The sequence below is a fragment of the Homo sapiens genome, chromosome 9 (genome assembly GCF_000001405.40).
Source record: "Homo sapiens chromosome 9, GRCh38.p14 Primary Assembly".
Classification (NCBI taxonomy): domain Eukaryota; kingdom Metazoa; phylum Chordata; class Mammalia; order Primates; family Hominidae; genus Homo; species Homo sapiens.
Window position 1 is genome coordinate 106,335,938 of NC_000009.12, and position 16,820 is coordinate 106,352,757.

At 34.7% G+C, this 16,820-nt stretch overlaps 1 long non-coding RNA gene across 2 annotated transcripts in view; it reads left to right on the top strand.

The window, feature by feature from the left end:
• Positions 1-16,820, top strand: part of LOC107987108 (uncharacterized) — a 675,821-nt gene that overhangs the window by 406,957 nt on the left and 252,044 nt on the right. The gene's annotated exons all lie outside the window — the stretch shown is intronic.

A 16,820-nucleotide genomic window follows, 5' to 3' on the forward strand; every position in this document is an offset into this window, starting at 1 on the left:
GTATATGTGCCACGTTTTCTTAATCCAGTCTATCACTGATGGACATTTGGGTTGGTTCCAAGTCTTTGCTATTGTGAATAGTGCCACAATAAATGTATGTATCCATGCGTCTTTATAGTAGCATGATTTATAATCCTTTGGGTATATACCCAGTAATGGGATCACTGGGTCAAATGGCATTTCTAGTTCTAGATCCTTGAGGAATCACCACACTGTCTTCCACAATGGTTGAACTAATTTACACTCCCACCAACAGTAGAAAAGTGTTCCTATTTCTCCACATCCTCTCCAGTATCTGTTGTTTCCTGACTTTTTAATGATCGCCATTCTAACTGGTGTGAGATGGTATCTCGTTGTGGTTTTGATTTGCATTTCTCTGATGGCCAGTGATGATGAGCATTTTTTCATGTGTCTTTTGGCTGCATAAATGTCTTCTTTTGAGAAGTGTCTGTGCATATCATTTGCCCACTTTTTGACGGGGTGGTTTATTTTTTTCTTGTAAATTTAAGTTCTTTGTAGATTCTGGATATTAGCCCTTTGTCAGGTGGGTAGATTGCAAAAATTTTCTCCCATTCTGTAGGTTGCCTGTTCACTCTGATGGTAGTTTCTTTTGCTGTGCAGAAGCTCTTTAGTTTAATTAGATCCTATTTGTCTATTTTGGCTTTTGTTGCCATTGTTTTTGGTGTTTTAGTCATGAAGTCCTTGCCCATGCCTATGTCCCGAATGGTATGGCCTAGGTTTTCTTCTAGGGTTTTTATGGCTTTAGGTTTAACATTTAAGTCTTTAATCCATTTTGAATTAATTTTTGTATAAGGAAGGGATCCAATTTTAGCTTTCTACATATGGCTAGCCAGTTTCCCTAGCACCATTTATTAAATAGGGAATCCTTTCCCCATTTCTTGTTTTTGTCAGGTTTGTCAAAGATCAGATGGTTGTAGATGTGTGGTGTTATTTCTGAGGCCTCTGTTCTGATCCATTGGTGTACATATCAGTTTTGGTACCACTACCATACTGTTTTGCTTACTGTAGCCTTGTACTATAGTTTGAAGTCATCATAATGCCTCCAGCTTTGTTCTTTTTGCTTAGGATTGCATTGGCAATGCGGGCTCTTTTTTCGTTCCATTTGAACTTTAAAGTAGTTTTTTCCAATTCTGTGAAGAAAGACATTGGTAGCTTGATGGGAATGGCATTGAATCTATAAATTACCCTGGGCAGTATTGCCATTTTCATGACATTGATTCTTCCTATCCATGAGCATGGGATGCTTTTCCATTTGTGTGTCCTCTTTTATTTCCTTGAGCAGTGGTTTGTAGTACTCCGTGAAGAGGTCATTCACATCCCTTGTAAGTTGGATTCCTAAGTATTTTACTCTCTTTGTAGCAATTGTGAATGGGAGTTCACTCATGATTTGGCTCTCTGTTTGTCTGTTGTTGGTGTATAAGAATGCTTGTGATTTTTGTACATTGATTTTGTATCTTGAGACTTTGCTGAAGTTGCTTATCAGCTTAAGGAGATTTTGGACTGAGACAGTGGGGTTTTCTAGATTTACAATCATGTCATCTGCAAACAGGGATAATTTGACTTCCTCTTTTCCTAATTGAATACCCTTTATTTTCTTCTCCTGCCTGATTGCCCTGGCCAGAACTTCAAACACTATGTTGAATAGGAGTGGTGAGACAGGGCATCCCTGTCTGCACAAATATAATTTTAAAGGTCTGGGTAAATACTTTTTCTTAAGAACCAGTTTAACTTGGTAAATAGTGTCATAGCCTGGGATTTTATGATTATCATTTTTATGATTTTATGATTATCATTTTACCATTATTTTATGATTATCATTGTACTTTTTCTCTTTGCAAAAAATTTTAAAATTATACAGAGTATACAAAGAAGAAGCAATAATCACCCATACTCCCCTCTCCAAATCAATCATTTTCAAGATTTTTGGCATATTTGATTATCTTTTTTCAATATCTACCAATGTTTATTTTTAAATTTATGCAAACAATAAGGCAATTATAATTAAAAACATTTAGCCCATTACAGATTAAATCATAGTCTCCCAAAAACTCTGTGCCCATACTGACATCTTCCCACCAATATTAAGGGTATCCTCCATGATAAATTTGTCAGATGAAATAATTCTCAAAATCTTTGTTTTTCACACATACTAGATATTGGGAGAAATATTAACTATTGGCTATTGTTTGTTTATGATTGATTCTTGTTAATATGTACAAATCTACTTTATTCCTTTGAATACTTTATAGTAATTCTGTTTGTAGAATTGTATTCACCCATTACTCTATAAATACATATTAAAATTGTTTTTAGTTTTTTTTTCCATATGGGAAACAATACAATACTTCCTCAAGTATTTCATTTCTCTATGCAAGTTTTTCTCCAGAATGGTAGGTAGAAAGAAATTTCTGGAGCCTCGGATAAATAATCTGATACTACCATCTTGCCCTTCAGTTAGATTGTGCTAATTTAAAGACCATGAGTAACTATACTTAATTTTACTCTTTTTGTCTACATTTGATATTATCAAACTTTTTATCTTGTCAAACTGGTAGCAGAATGGTAGTTCATTATTATAATTTACATTTTCTGATTGTTACTGGGGCAGAACCATTTTTATAGAGTGATTCTGATTTTATCTTTTGTGATTACCTACCTGTTCATGTATTTTAAACTATATTTTCATTGACTTTTATAAGTTTAGATATATGTGAATTATTTAAAAATTTCAGATGCTCACTTTGGTCTGTTTTGTGTCTGAATATTTTACAGCTGTAAGTATTTCCTCCCAGATTATTTCTTGTATTTCATTTAGTTTTGTTTTGTTTTACCTTTGTTTATGGTATCTTTGCTTGCCATAGAGTAGTTTTAAATTTAGAATGATCAAATTTCCATTTTTTCCTTTTCATTTTTGCTACATATCTGATTTTTAAAAAGTCTTCTTGCCTCCAGGGTTATATTATTTTGTTTCATTATCTTCACATAAAATTACTTTTATTTCTCCAAATATGGGTCTTTAATTCAACTTGAATTTATTTCTGCCTGTGAGTAAAACAATGTTTAGGATTCTCAGCCTATACCATTGTTCTTGAAATAGCACCACACCATTTTAAGTACTGTAGTTTTTGTTCGTTTTTTTGGGATGCATTAATTTCTGGAATGATAAAAATGGCCTTTATTGTATTTGTAATGCTCATGTATAAGGCATAAAGGGGCTTCTAATTAATGAGCACAGCTGTGTGCTGAGCAAGGTGGGTGGAAGACCTTTTCATATTTTATCTCATATTATGCTCATGTCACCTATATGAAGGAAATGATACTAGCTGATCTTACAGATGAGGAGACAGAAGCTCAGTGGACAGAGTTAACTTTCTCAGCAACACACAGCTTGTCAACAGTGGAGTGAAGATTTGAATACCATGTCTATCTTACTCCAAAAGGGGTAACCTGGCATCTCTCACACGTAGGTCCATACCATACTTGAAAAACATCAAAATACCTGCTAATTCCTTTCTGTTTTAAAGCTGTGTTATTCCTAATATTGCAGGAAGATTTGAATACCATGTCTATCTTACTCCAAAAAGGGTAACCTGGCATCTCTCACACGTAGGTCCATACCATACTTGAAAAACATCAAAATACCTGCTAATTCCTTTCTTTTTTTAAAGCTGTGTTATTCCTAATATTGCAGGAAGCTGAAAGATGGCACTGTACTTTAATTAGCTATGTGTAAGTTGTGTTGAGGACAAGAAAGATAAGGAAGTAGAGCCTGTGGTGAAGTTGACCAACTATTACTTATTTTAAGGAATAGTACAGCCTTCATCCCACCCCCACCCCTTAGGCTCAAGCTTTCTTATTCTCCATAATTAGTTCCAAATGTTCTTCAGTTTTCAGCTGTCTTCTCCTTCTCTAGACAGAAATCTAATGCCAGCAACGGGCACCAAGGCTTCCCTTTGGCCTTTGCTCTTTATGACCGGGTCACTGCCTTTAGCAATTAGAAAATCATGGACAATTTCATCTGTCACACACTCCTGCATTTGACTCTGACCTCTATCTGGAATCTGAAGTTTCCTGGACCAATCTGCCATTTTCCACATGGACTTCCTTCCTGGTGTTGCAATGGAAAGGAATGTCCAAAAGACTTTGGAATAAGGGTGCAAAGGTTCCTGGCTATAGATTATCCACTCAAGGCTTTGAAATTTTCCAGTTTTCATCTGAGAAGCTGATAGTTAAATTTATCAGGTTGTTCTCTTTGCCAGGGAATAGAAGTCTAGACTTACCCCTCCCTTTCTTTCGAAGAAGAATGAAGACCTGTCTTTGTTGATTTATGATCTTGGAAAGAAGAGAAGGGCACAAGATAAAATGAGAGATGTGGAATGCTATGATAAAGTGGGTAACACCTGAGGAATCTCTCCTGCCTAGAGACAAGAGAGATCTTACAGGCTACTGAAGACAGGCAGGTTTTGTTTTTTCCCAAAGTCTTAAAATGTGCAACTGCATCTACTCTGACTTATCCCATACTGAGGACTTTGAAGTCTCACCAGATTTACCTGAGCTGGCAGCTGAGTCTTAAGGAGAGATTTCTAAACATGAAGAAGCTTTCTCTTCAAATTGAATGGGTCAGTTCCATTTCCTGTAGCATAATTGAGTAAGAATATGTTCTTGTCTTTTCAGATAGCAAGTGAATGATAGAAATTATTATATATGAAAGACAAAACACTTCACAGGGAAGGAAGTTTACAAGGCAAGCTGGACCTAAGTTTGGCCTGGCCGTTCCTTTGGCTATTTGACTTACACCTTGACTGGTCTTTTTGTATCTGAATCCTATGGCACACACATGGAGTGAGAACACAGTACCATAGTAATGGCAACAGTAAGGGGGGTAGGCAGGGAGTAAGGAGAGTAAATTCACAAGGGCAACATGCCCTTGTTTGCTCACCAGATTTTGGAGAACAGCCAGCCATTCAATGCAATGATCACTTGGTCATATTACTGAATACAGAAGATTGTGTTCATATCACTAAGCAGGCTGTTTTCTTCCACACAGAACACTTCAGAGCCTAACCTTGAGAAAAGTTAAGGATGCTCTGTATAGCCCAGTGTCCCTGAAATACTGAATGTGTAGCTGAGGGTCAGATTGCAAGAATGGGAATCAGCTCAACTGCATTCAAGTTGCAGCTCTGCCTTTTCCTATGTTATCTCAGGTGGGTCTTCCCCATTTTTGACTGGGTTTCTGATAAGTAAAATGATGACTTAAACTAGGTAAGTTCTAACATCCTTTCAAGATCAAAAGAAATATGGTGCTGTTAACAAATACTTTTTAGCTGCAAAGTATCATATTTCTTTGTGCCAGGGAATCATAGATGAGAGATTGTTGCTAAGCATGAAGTAGTGCAAATAGAAAAGCCATCCAGGGCTGATATTACATTAGTCCTTTAAGTCATTGATCCTTATTCAAATTTAAGAAAATGTGGGGACAGTATTAAATTAGCTGTGATATGTGGCCTCTGTTTATGGTCACCACCAGCCACTTGAAGAAAATCCCTTTCTTTCCTCAGACTTAATTGGTTTGGGGCACTGTAGTCCCCTACTGTCATTGTTACCTTATTCAGTATGAGCTCAGGGGCAATTATCTGTGTATGTGTAAAGCAAACTAGATAGGCCTAGTTACTAGGAGTACCTTTTATCAAAACATTCCCCAACTATGTTCAGAGAGAAGGATTGGCATTCTGAGAAACTTAGCTTTCTTGAGATATGCTTGAGAATCAGCACATATTAAGAAAAAATGTAGAAATAAAAACTTATTATCTATAGCCCTGGAAGTTCTGCTTCTGTTAACGGCCAAGTAAGCTCATATCAGACTAACTGTTCTGCAAATAACAACTATAAACTCCAAAATAAAAATATAAAAATAATTAACTGAAGGCTAAAGAGGGAACAAACACAGGGACATTCTAAAGGTAAGTCCATATTTGGAAAAAGGAAATAACATTTTGTTTTCTCCTGAGTGTGTGTGTGTGTTAGCTAGAAAAGAAGCTGTAGTCTGCATTCAGGTTAGCTTAAATTCCAATATAAAAGCTGCAATTGATCTCTAAAGAACTACTATCTACTATGTGGAGCTCAGGATAATTATAGTTGCTGGAGAGTGAGAGGGGAGAGGAGTACTGGAAAAAAATGAGAACTAGAAAGGGGAGCCATAAATTCTCTGCGTAACTCTATATAAATCTCTGGTTGACCCTAGAACCATGCATGCACAAAGCAGACGACAATCAGCCTAGCTAAGCCTAAATAACTGATCTGATGTTTGAGGTACTGCCCAAGAAACAAAGTTTACTGTCTGAGGCCAAGTTAATTGCCTGCTTAAAGAACTCAATACTCTTCGGAGAAATATAAAAGAATCCAGAGTCTACATTATAACGTTTCCAATGTCCAAAATATAACCGAAAATTAGCATATGAAAAAAGAACAAAGTGTAACCCATTATTAAAGACAATCAACAGGTGCTAGGAAAATTAGATATCCATATGCAGAAGAATGAAACTAGATTCCTATTTCTCACCATATACAAAAATCAACTCAAATTGAACTGAAGACAAATGTAAGCCCTTACACTGTGGAAGTACTAAATGAAAGCATAGGAGAAATGCTTCACAGTATCAATACGGCCAAGGATATTTTGGATAAAATCTTAAAAACACAGCAAAAATGAACAAATGAGATTACATCAAATGAAGGAGATTCTGAACAGCAAAGAAATAATTAACAGAATGAAGTCTCCTAGCATCATTATCTTATTCAGTGTGAGAAAACATTATTATCTCCTTTAAAAATGAGAAAATTAACATTCAGAGAATTACTTTTGTGCCCAAGTATGCACAGCTAGTGAATACTGAAGACGAAACTTGAACCCATAGTTGTCTGATTTCAGAACTTGCATTATTTCTGTAATACTGCTTCTAACTGAAGTCCATATGTGAAAAGAGTCTTTGTTTAGATTTTAAGGGCAACTCTTTTTGTTTATCACCAACCATGTATAAATTTACTTTTCATTATTTGTTTTATGTCAGAATGTAGAAGGTTCGTTCATTCTATCTTTTATTTAATACCATTTGTAGACTGTCTCCATGTCTATCATTGGTTAGAGGTGAATCAGAAAATAATAACAAAATGGCAGACTTAAGCCCTATAATATCAATAGTTACCTTAAATGCAAATAGTCTAAATACACAAGTTAAAGACATTGTCAGTGCAGATTTAAAACTATGACCCAACTATGTATCTAAAATGAACCTCACTTCAATGCAGTGACATGGGTATGTTCAAGGTAAGAGAATAAAAAAAGATATATAAACATGTTTTCTTTAAAAAAGCAGAAGCTATTGTAGTAATATTAGATAGTGTAGATTTTGGAGCAAAGGAAATTATCGGAGATAGAGAATATCATTACAGATTAATAAAAGGATCACTTCTTCAGAAAGGTGCAATAATCCTAAATATGTGCACATCAAATAACAGAGCCTCAAAATATATGAAGTAAACACTGACAGAGCTAAAATGGATAAATCCACAATTATAGATGGGGACTTCAACATCCCATTCTCAGCAATTGATGGTACTAACAGACATAAAACAGCAAAGATGTAGAAAAGAAAAAGACACCAGGATCTAATTAGGATATATGGAATACAAAATAACATAGTTTTTATGCAAGCACTCATGGAATATTCATTAAGACAGATTATATCCTTGGCCATAAAACAAATCTCAAAAAATATAAAAAGGTGAAATCATACATGGCATATACTCTGACCATAATGGAATCAAACTACAAATCAATAACAGAAAGCAAAAGGAAACTCTTCAAGAACTTGGAAATTAAACAAAACCCATATAGATGATCTTTAGGTCAAACAGGATGTCTCAAATGAAGCAAAATAGATATGAAACTCAATAAAGCTGAAAGTACAACACACCAAAACATGCATGATGCAGCTAAAGCAATGCTAGTAGGGAATGTTATAGCACTAAAGACTTACTACATTTAGCCAAGGAAAAATGTCTCAAAAAATTCTAAATTTCTACCTGAAAAAAAACTGGAATTAAACTAAAAAGCTTCTGACTAGCAAAAGAACAGAGTGAACAGGCAGCCTTCGGAATGGAATAAAATATTTGCAAACTATGCATCCAAAATGGGGCTAACATCCAGAAATTATGAAGAAACTGAACAACTCAACAACAACAACAGCAAAAATAATTCACTTAAAAAGTGGGCAAAGGATACTTTTCAAAAGAAGACATACAAATGGCCAAGCATATGAAAAAATGCTCAACATCACTAATCATAGGAAAGCATATGAAAATATGCTCAATATCACTAATCAGATAAATGCAAATTAAAATCACAATATAATATCATCTTACACCAGTTAGAATGGCTATTATTAAAAGGTCAAAAAACAGCAGATGTAGGTGAGGATGTGGAGAAAAAGGAATGCTTATACGCTGTTGTTGGGAATGCAAATTAGTGCAACCTCTATGGAAGAAAGCATGGAGATTTCTCAAAGAACTAAAACTAGAACTGCTATTCAAGCCAGGAATCCTGTTACTGGGTATCTACCCAAAGGAAAAGATATCATTGTATCACAAAAATATCTGTACTCCTATGTTTACTACAATACTCTTCACAATAGCAAAGATATGGAATCAACCTAAGGGTTCATCAACAGATGATTGGATAAAGAAAATGTGGTACATATCGACACAATGGAATAGTATTCATCAATAAAAAAGAATGAAATCATGTATTTTGCAGCAACATGGATGGAACTGGAGGCCATTATCTTATGTGAAACAACTCAGAGCCACATACTGCATGTTCTCAGTTATAAGTAGGGGTGCACATGGACACAGACTGTGGATTAATAGGCATTGGAGACTTGGAGAGGTGGGAGAGTAGGAGAGGAATGAGGAATGAGAAATTACTTAATGGGTACAATGTACATTATTCAGGTAATAGTTACCTTAAAAGCTCAGACTTCATCACTGTGCAATATATCAGTGTAACAAAACTGCACTTGTATTCCTTAAATTTATGCAAAGAAAAGGGAGCAAAATAAACTGAACCAAGTAGATGGAAGGAAATGATGAAGATAAGAGAAAAAGAAAATGAAATTGAAAACAAGAAATGGAATACAGAAAAATCAGTGGAACAAAAAATTGGTTCTTAAATCAGTAAAATTGATAACCCTCTAGTAGAATGAATTAATTTTTTTAATGGAGCAACAAATCACCAATATCAGAAAAGAAACAGGGTATATCACTACAAATCATTCAGCCATTAAAAGATAATAAAGGAATGCTACGAAAAACTTTACATTCATAAATTTCACAACTTTGAAGACATGGATCGATTCCGTGAAAATACAAATGTCAAAAACTCAAAGTGAAATAGATAACCTAAATAGTTATATAATTATGTTTAAAAATTGAATTATTAATTGGCAAAAATCTTCAAGACCATAGAGAAATACTACTAAATATTTTTCAGGAAAATTAATAACCAATTGTACATACTGTCTTCCAGAAAATAAAAGAGGGAACACTTCTAAACACATTGTATAAGGCTAGTATTACCCTGATACCAAAACCAGACAAAGGCAATGCAGAAAAAAAGCAAGCTATACACAATATCTCTCATGACTTTAAGTACAAAATTTTCAAATCAATGTTAGATAATCTAACCTAAGAATGTGTAAAAATTAATATGTACCGTGGCCAAGTGGGATTTACTCCAGGTATGCAAGGCTGGTTGAACACTAACTATCTTTTATTGTAATCCACTATATCAATTGGTTAAAGAAGAAAAAGTATATGATTGTATCAACTGATGCAGAAAAAGCATTTGGCAAAATCCAACAACCCTCCTTGATAAATCTCAGGAAACTAGGAATAGAGAGAATTTCCTGTTTGATCAAGAGCATTTATGAAACAGCTACAGTTACTATTACACTTAATTGTGAAAGACTGAATAGTTTTCCCCAAAGATATGTTCCCTTCAGGAACAAGGCAAACTTATCTAGTCTCATCTTCCTTATTAAACATAATACTAGAAGTTCTGGTCACTGCAATAAGACAAGAAAGTAAAGACATGCAAGTTAGAAAGGAAGAAATAAAGTCAACCCTATTTGCAGGTTACATGATCACATGATTGCCTACGTAGAAAATCTCAAAACTACCAAAAAAAAAAAAAAGTTCCTAGCACTAGTCAGCTCTGCAAGGATGCACAAGGTTGCAGAATACAAGGTCAATGCATACTTGCTAATTTCTGAACTACATACTTATAACAAATAGGAATAAACCAAAAGTAAAATTACTTTACAATTACGAAAGAAAATTTAATACTGAGGCATAAATCTATCAGAACATGTGCAACATATGTATCACAAAAATTACACAATGCTAATAAAACAGCTCAAAGAAGACCTAAATACAGGAAGAAATATTCCATGTTCATGAATTGGAAGACTCAATACAGGAAACATGTTCGTTCTCCCCAAATTGATTTATAGTTTTAATACAATACCTACCAAAATCTCAGAAAAGTTTTTTTTTTGTAGGTAGACACCAGCTTGTACTACAATTTATTTGAAAAAATACAGAATATAATATAGCTAAAATATTTTGAAAGGTAGAAAGTAGGAAGAATTACTCTACCCTATGTTAATGCTACAATATAGCTACAGAAATAAAGTAAATGTGATATTGGACTCGATGCGGTGGCTTATGCCTGTTATCCCAGCACTTTGGGAGGCCAAGGTGGGTGGACTTAGTGTCAGGAGTTCCAGACCAGCGTGAAACCCCATATCTACTAAAAAAAAAAAATACAAAAATTAGCTAGGCGTGGTGGCACCCACATGCAGTTCCAGCTACTCGGGAGGGTGAGGTAGGAGGGTGAGGCAGGAGGATCACCTGAGCCTGGTAGGTGGAGGTTTCACTCAGCTAAGATCATGCCACGGCACTCCAGCCTGGGCAACAGGATGAGAGACTGTCTCAAAAGAAAAAAGTTGGTGGAGAGATAGACGTAGATCAATGAAACAGAACCCCAAAATAGATACACAAAAATATGTGCAATTTATCTATTTATATATTTTTTGAGATGGAGTCTTGCTCTGTTGCCCAGGCTGGAGTGCAGTGGCGCACTCTCTGCTCACTGCAACCTCCACCTCCCAGGTTCAAGGGGTTCTTGTTCCTCAGCCTCCTGAGTAGTTGGGATTACAACAGGTGCACACCACCATGCCTGGCTATGTGCAACCAATTTTTCACAAAGGTTTCAAAGCAATTCAAGAAGGACGGCCTTTTTAACAAATAGTATTGGAAAAAAGTGGACATTCAGAGGCAAAAGAAAAAAAATGAAGCTTGATCTATGCCTCACATTATACAAAAATTAAAGTGGATCATAGACTTAAACAGAAACGTAAAATCACCAAACTTCTAGGAAAAAAAAACATAGGATACATTTTTAAAGACCTACAGTTAAGTTTTTAGACTTGGTACCAAAAGCATGATCCATAAATAAAATTTGATAAATTAGACCATAAAAATTAAGAACTCTTTCTTTGCAATGGATCCTGTGAAGAGCATGAAAACACAAGCTGCAAACTAGACCAGAAGTAATATTTGCAGTCCCCATTTCTGGAAAAGGATTTGTATGTATAATATATAACAAACTTTCAAAACAACAGTAAAAAGATCCAATTTCAACTGGACAAAAGACATTAAAGACATTTCACTGAAGAGGGTATATGGATGGCAAATAAAAACATGAAAATATGTTCAGCATGATTAACTGTTAAAGAAAGACAAGCTAAAGCCACAATGAGATGTTAACACATGCCTATCAGAATGGACAAAATAATAGTGACAACACTAAATTCCAGTGAGGATATAGAGCAACTATGTGATTCATATAGGCCTGGTGAGAATGTAAAACGGTATAGTCACTCTGGAAATCAGTTTGATAGTTTCTTAAAAAAAATAGATATGCTACTCTACCATAATATCCCATAATTGTACTCTTGGATATTTGTCCCAGGGAAATCAAAACTTACATTCACACTAAAATTTATAAACAAATGTTTACATGACCTTTGTTTGTAATAGTCCTAAACTGGAAAAAATCCAAATTTTCTTCAACAGGTGAATAAACATAATGATGCATCCATACCATGGAATACTACTCAGCAATAAAAATAATAAATCACTAATACATGAAACAAATTGGAAGACTCTCAAGGGAATGGTCCTGACTTCAGAAAGCCAAGCTTGAAAGGCCACATACTGAAAGATCCTGTTTATATAACATTCACGAGTTAATGAAATTATTGAAATGGAGGGCAGATTAATGACTACCAGGGACTAGAGAGGGGCATATGGAGGGAGGTAATGATGAGTATGAAATGGTAACATGAGGATCCTTGTGATGGAACTGTTCTGCATTTTGACTGTGGTGATAGATACACAAACCTACATATATGATTACATTGCATGTAACCACACACACACACACACACACACACCAGGGCATGAAATTTGAATAAGACCCATATATTGTATCAATATCATTTTTCTGTTTGTTATATACTATTGTTATGCAAGAATGCAAGATGTTGACATTGGGGAAAACTGGGTGAAGAGTATATCTCTCTGTATTATTTATTACAACTGATGTGAACCTAAAATTATCTCAAAATTATTTTTATTTTTTAATTTTTTTGTCTTACATCTTTTTATTTTAATTTAATATTTTGTATTAATTTTTATTTCAATAGCTTTTGGGGTACAAGTGTTTTTTTGTTACATGGATGAATTATACTGTGGTGAACTCTGAGATTTCAGTGGACCTGTCACCCAAGGGGTGTACACTGTACCCAACGTGTAGTTTTTTGTCTCTAGGCCCCATCCCACCTTCCCACTCCTAAGTCTTTAAAGTCCATTGTATAACTCTACATGCCTTTGTGGACTCATAGCTTAGCTTCCACTTATAAGTAAGAACATACATTTTTTGGTTTTTCACTCCCGTGTTACTTCACTTAGAATAATGGCCTCCAGCTCCATCCAATTTGCTGCAAAAGTCATTATTTTATTACTTTCAATGGTAGATTACTATTCCATGGTGTATATATGTACCACATTTTCTTTATCCACTTTGTTGATGGGCACTTACATTGGTTCCCTATCTTTGCAACTGTGAATTGTGCTGCCATAAACATACATCTTCAAGTGTCTTTTTCATGTAATGATTTATTTTCCCTTTGATATATACTCAGTGGGATTGCTGGATTGAATGGTAGGTCTACTGTTAGCTCTTTAAGGAATCTCCATACTGTTTTCCATAGAGGTTCTACTAGTTTACATTCCCACCAGCTGTGTATACGCCTTCCCTTTTCCCCACATCCATGGCAATGTCTACTGTTTTTTGACTTTTTAACAATGGCCATTTTTGTAGGAGTAAGTGGTATTCAAAATTATTTTTAAAGAACACTTATAAATCAATTATAGTACCATCAATAGAAAAATAAACATTGAATAAAGGGCATGGAAATAATTCACAGTTGAAGAAATACGGATGACCAACAAAACAAATTTATCCTCACTGGCAATCAGAGAAAGCCAAAATGAATAATTAATTTTAAGTTATCAAATTTAAAAAACTATGTTAAAGTTATCAGATGGCACTCTTTGGAGTATAACTATGATGCTGTTTGGAATGTTAACAGGTATAAATTTCTTTTTTTTTTTTGAGATGGTGTCTCACTGTGTCACCCAGGCTTGAGTGCAATGGCGCGATCTCAGCTCATTGCAACCTCCACCTCCTGGGTTCAAGTGATTCTCCTGCCTCAGCCTCCCGAGTAGCTAGGATTACATGTGCCCGCCACCACGCCTGGCTAATTTTTGTATTTTTAGTAGAGATGGGGTTTCACCAGGTTGACCAGGCTGGTCTCGAACTCCTGACCTCAGGTGATCCACCCACCTCGGTCTCCCAAAGTGCTAGGATTGCAGGCGTGAGTCACGGCACCCAGCCAAACTATAAATTTCTTAAAAACCAATTAGGTGGCTGGGTGAGGTGGTTCACGCCTGTAATCCCAGCAATTTGGGAGGCCAAAGCAGATGGATCACCTGAGGTGAGGAGTTTGAGACCAGCCTGGCCAACATCGTGAAACCCCGTCTCTACTAAAAATACAAAAATTAGCCAGGCGTGGTGGTGGACGTCTGTAATCTCAGCTACTCGGGAGTATGAGGCAGAGAATTGCTTGAACCTGAGAGGCAGAGGTTGCAGTGAGCTGAGATTGCGCCACTGCACTCTAGCCTGGGTGACAAAGCGAGACTCCGTCTCAAAAATAACTAAATAAAAAATAAAAACAATTAGGCTAGATATATTACAATGCCTAAAAGAGTTTATGCCCTTTAACCCAGTAATACCACTTGTACAAATTAATTCCAAAGAGATGATCAGCTGCGCAAAGAGTATTGTATAAGGATAATCCTAAAAATATTTATAATAGAATAAAAGATAATCTAAATATCTGACAAGGGGATGGTTAAACAGTTAAATATAATGCAATTGTTTATGAACATTAAATTATGATTTGAATAAATATTAAAGACATAGGAAAATGTTCAGGTTATAATATTGAGACAGAGGTGGGATATAAAGGGGAAATGTCTTATTTAAAAAATGTGTAAATATCTATTTATATATATTTTTATATGACAATTTTAGCAGTGGTTATGGGTAATTTCAATTTTCTTCTTTATACTTTCTTTTATTTCCCAAAGTATCTACAAGGAGCATGAATGTTCTTTATATTAAGAAAGAAAAATTTTAAAACATGTGTCTACTAGGAATAACAAAACATTTGCAAAGTTGCTCATTTGGCTTACCTGCCAGCACTTGTTCCAGCTTCCTCTTCCTCTCCCACTTTGCACCCCACACTTTTAACTAGTGTTCACTTACTCTCATCCTTCTCTCTCACAGACCTCACTTCCTGTTCAAAGCCAGTGACTGTGTCTAGGCTCAAACTTCCCCCATCCACATTTTTGCTCAGTTTCTTAGTTATCTGACCTCTTCTGCTATCTTCGGGCTTTCTCTGCTCATTGCAAATGGGCAATGGAACAAAGATGCATGAGTCACTGGTCTATGAAAAATATTTTTAAAATATCTATTGTATTTTGTTTTGTTTATAGAAATGGTTTTTTTCTTGAGATTACAAAAATAAAATTTTTATTGTAAAATAAGACAATGTACAAGTTAGAAAATAACAATCTCTTCTTTGTCTCTTTAGTAAATGGATAGATTGGTTGATAGAAAGATGGATGTATTTGTGTTAGCATAGGTGAAGGATAAATTGATGTATGTATGGACATGTGAATTGATGGATAGCTAGTTTTGGGATAAAAGGAATCACACATTACAGCTAGTCACCATGACAAAAATGATTCCAAAATTAATCTGCTAGAATAAACAGAATAGTTAGAGAACACTTTTAAAATAACATATAATGGAAGGGGATGCTGCCTTCCAGAAACTGAAATGAATTGCAGTGAGTTTAAATATTGAAGTATTGCCTGATTATTACTGCATTTTTCTTATAATTTAGTATATTGCCAACACACATATTGTCATGCTTTCCATGACAATAAATATGAATCAGTATGACCACCTTATCTGTGCAGTTTTACTTTACAAATGATCCACTAGTTTTTTTAAATGCTCTATAGTATGAATATTAGCTTGTTTCTCATATTTTAACATTATAAGCAATACTTTAATAAATGTCCCCTCATACACACTGTTTTAAAAAAAAGTTTTCTTTTAATTCCTTTAGAAAAAAAATATAGAAGTAGATTTGCCAGAACAGAGTCATGTTTTAGGTTTGGATATGAATTTCCAGTTTCCCTTCAAAAGAAGTGGGCTAATTAATATATTTCTGCCAGCATCTTGTGACAGTGATTATTTTTCTACATTTTTACTAACTTGTGACACTATAAACCTTGTAAATTATTGCTATTTTAACAGGTAAAAAAATTCTAGTTTAAATTTGAGTGCATATTTATTGAAGATATGCGTCTTTTTATATACTCAATATTTTACATTTCTTTTGATTTTCCAGTCATATATTTTGGTATTTACTTAAATTTTCAGCAAAATACATGTGCATGGTTTAAAGGTTACATTAAAGCAACAAGGATTATTAGCAAAAATAGTGTTTCTCTGCCTGTCTTGTTTTCCCTCCCATTGTCCTCCCAATCCTGCTACCCAATGATAGCCTGTTTAGCTTATTAAATAGTTTATTCTGATATTTAATTAATTTAATATCATGTTTTTAACTAATGTACTTTTTCACTACTTGTTGATTTTTCAAATTCAGATGTTAGGTATTGATTTACTACCAGGTAAGAGGAAAATTTAACTCTCCTTCAACATTCCTCCTATCACACCCTGTCCCTATGGACATATTCAGTTATCTTCAATCATCTTTTAAATGTAGATTTATTATAATTTTGGACTAAATTTACATTCACTCATTTTGTCGTTATTACATAAACATTACTCACTGCTCAGTAAGTATCGTAGGTAGTTTAAGTTTGCTATCTGGTTCAATTTTCTGCTTCCCTGGAATTAATAATTACCTTATTTTGGGTTTACTTAATTTTCTTTGTACACAAACCTTTTCTTTTTTCTTTCCAAATTTTATTTTAGGTTCGGGGGATATAAGAGCAGGTTTGTTACATGGATAAAT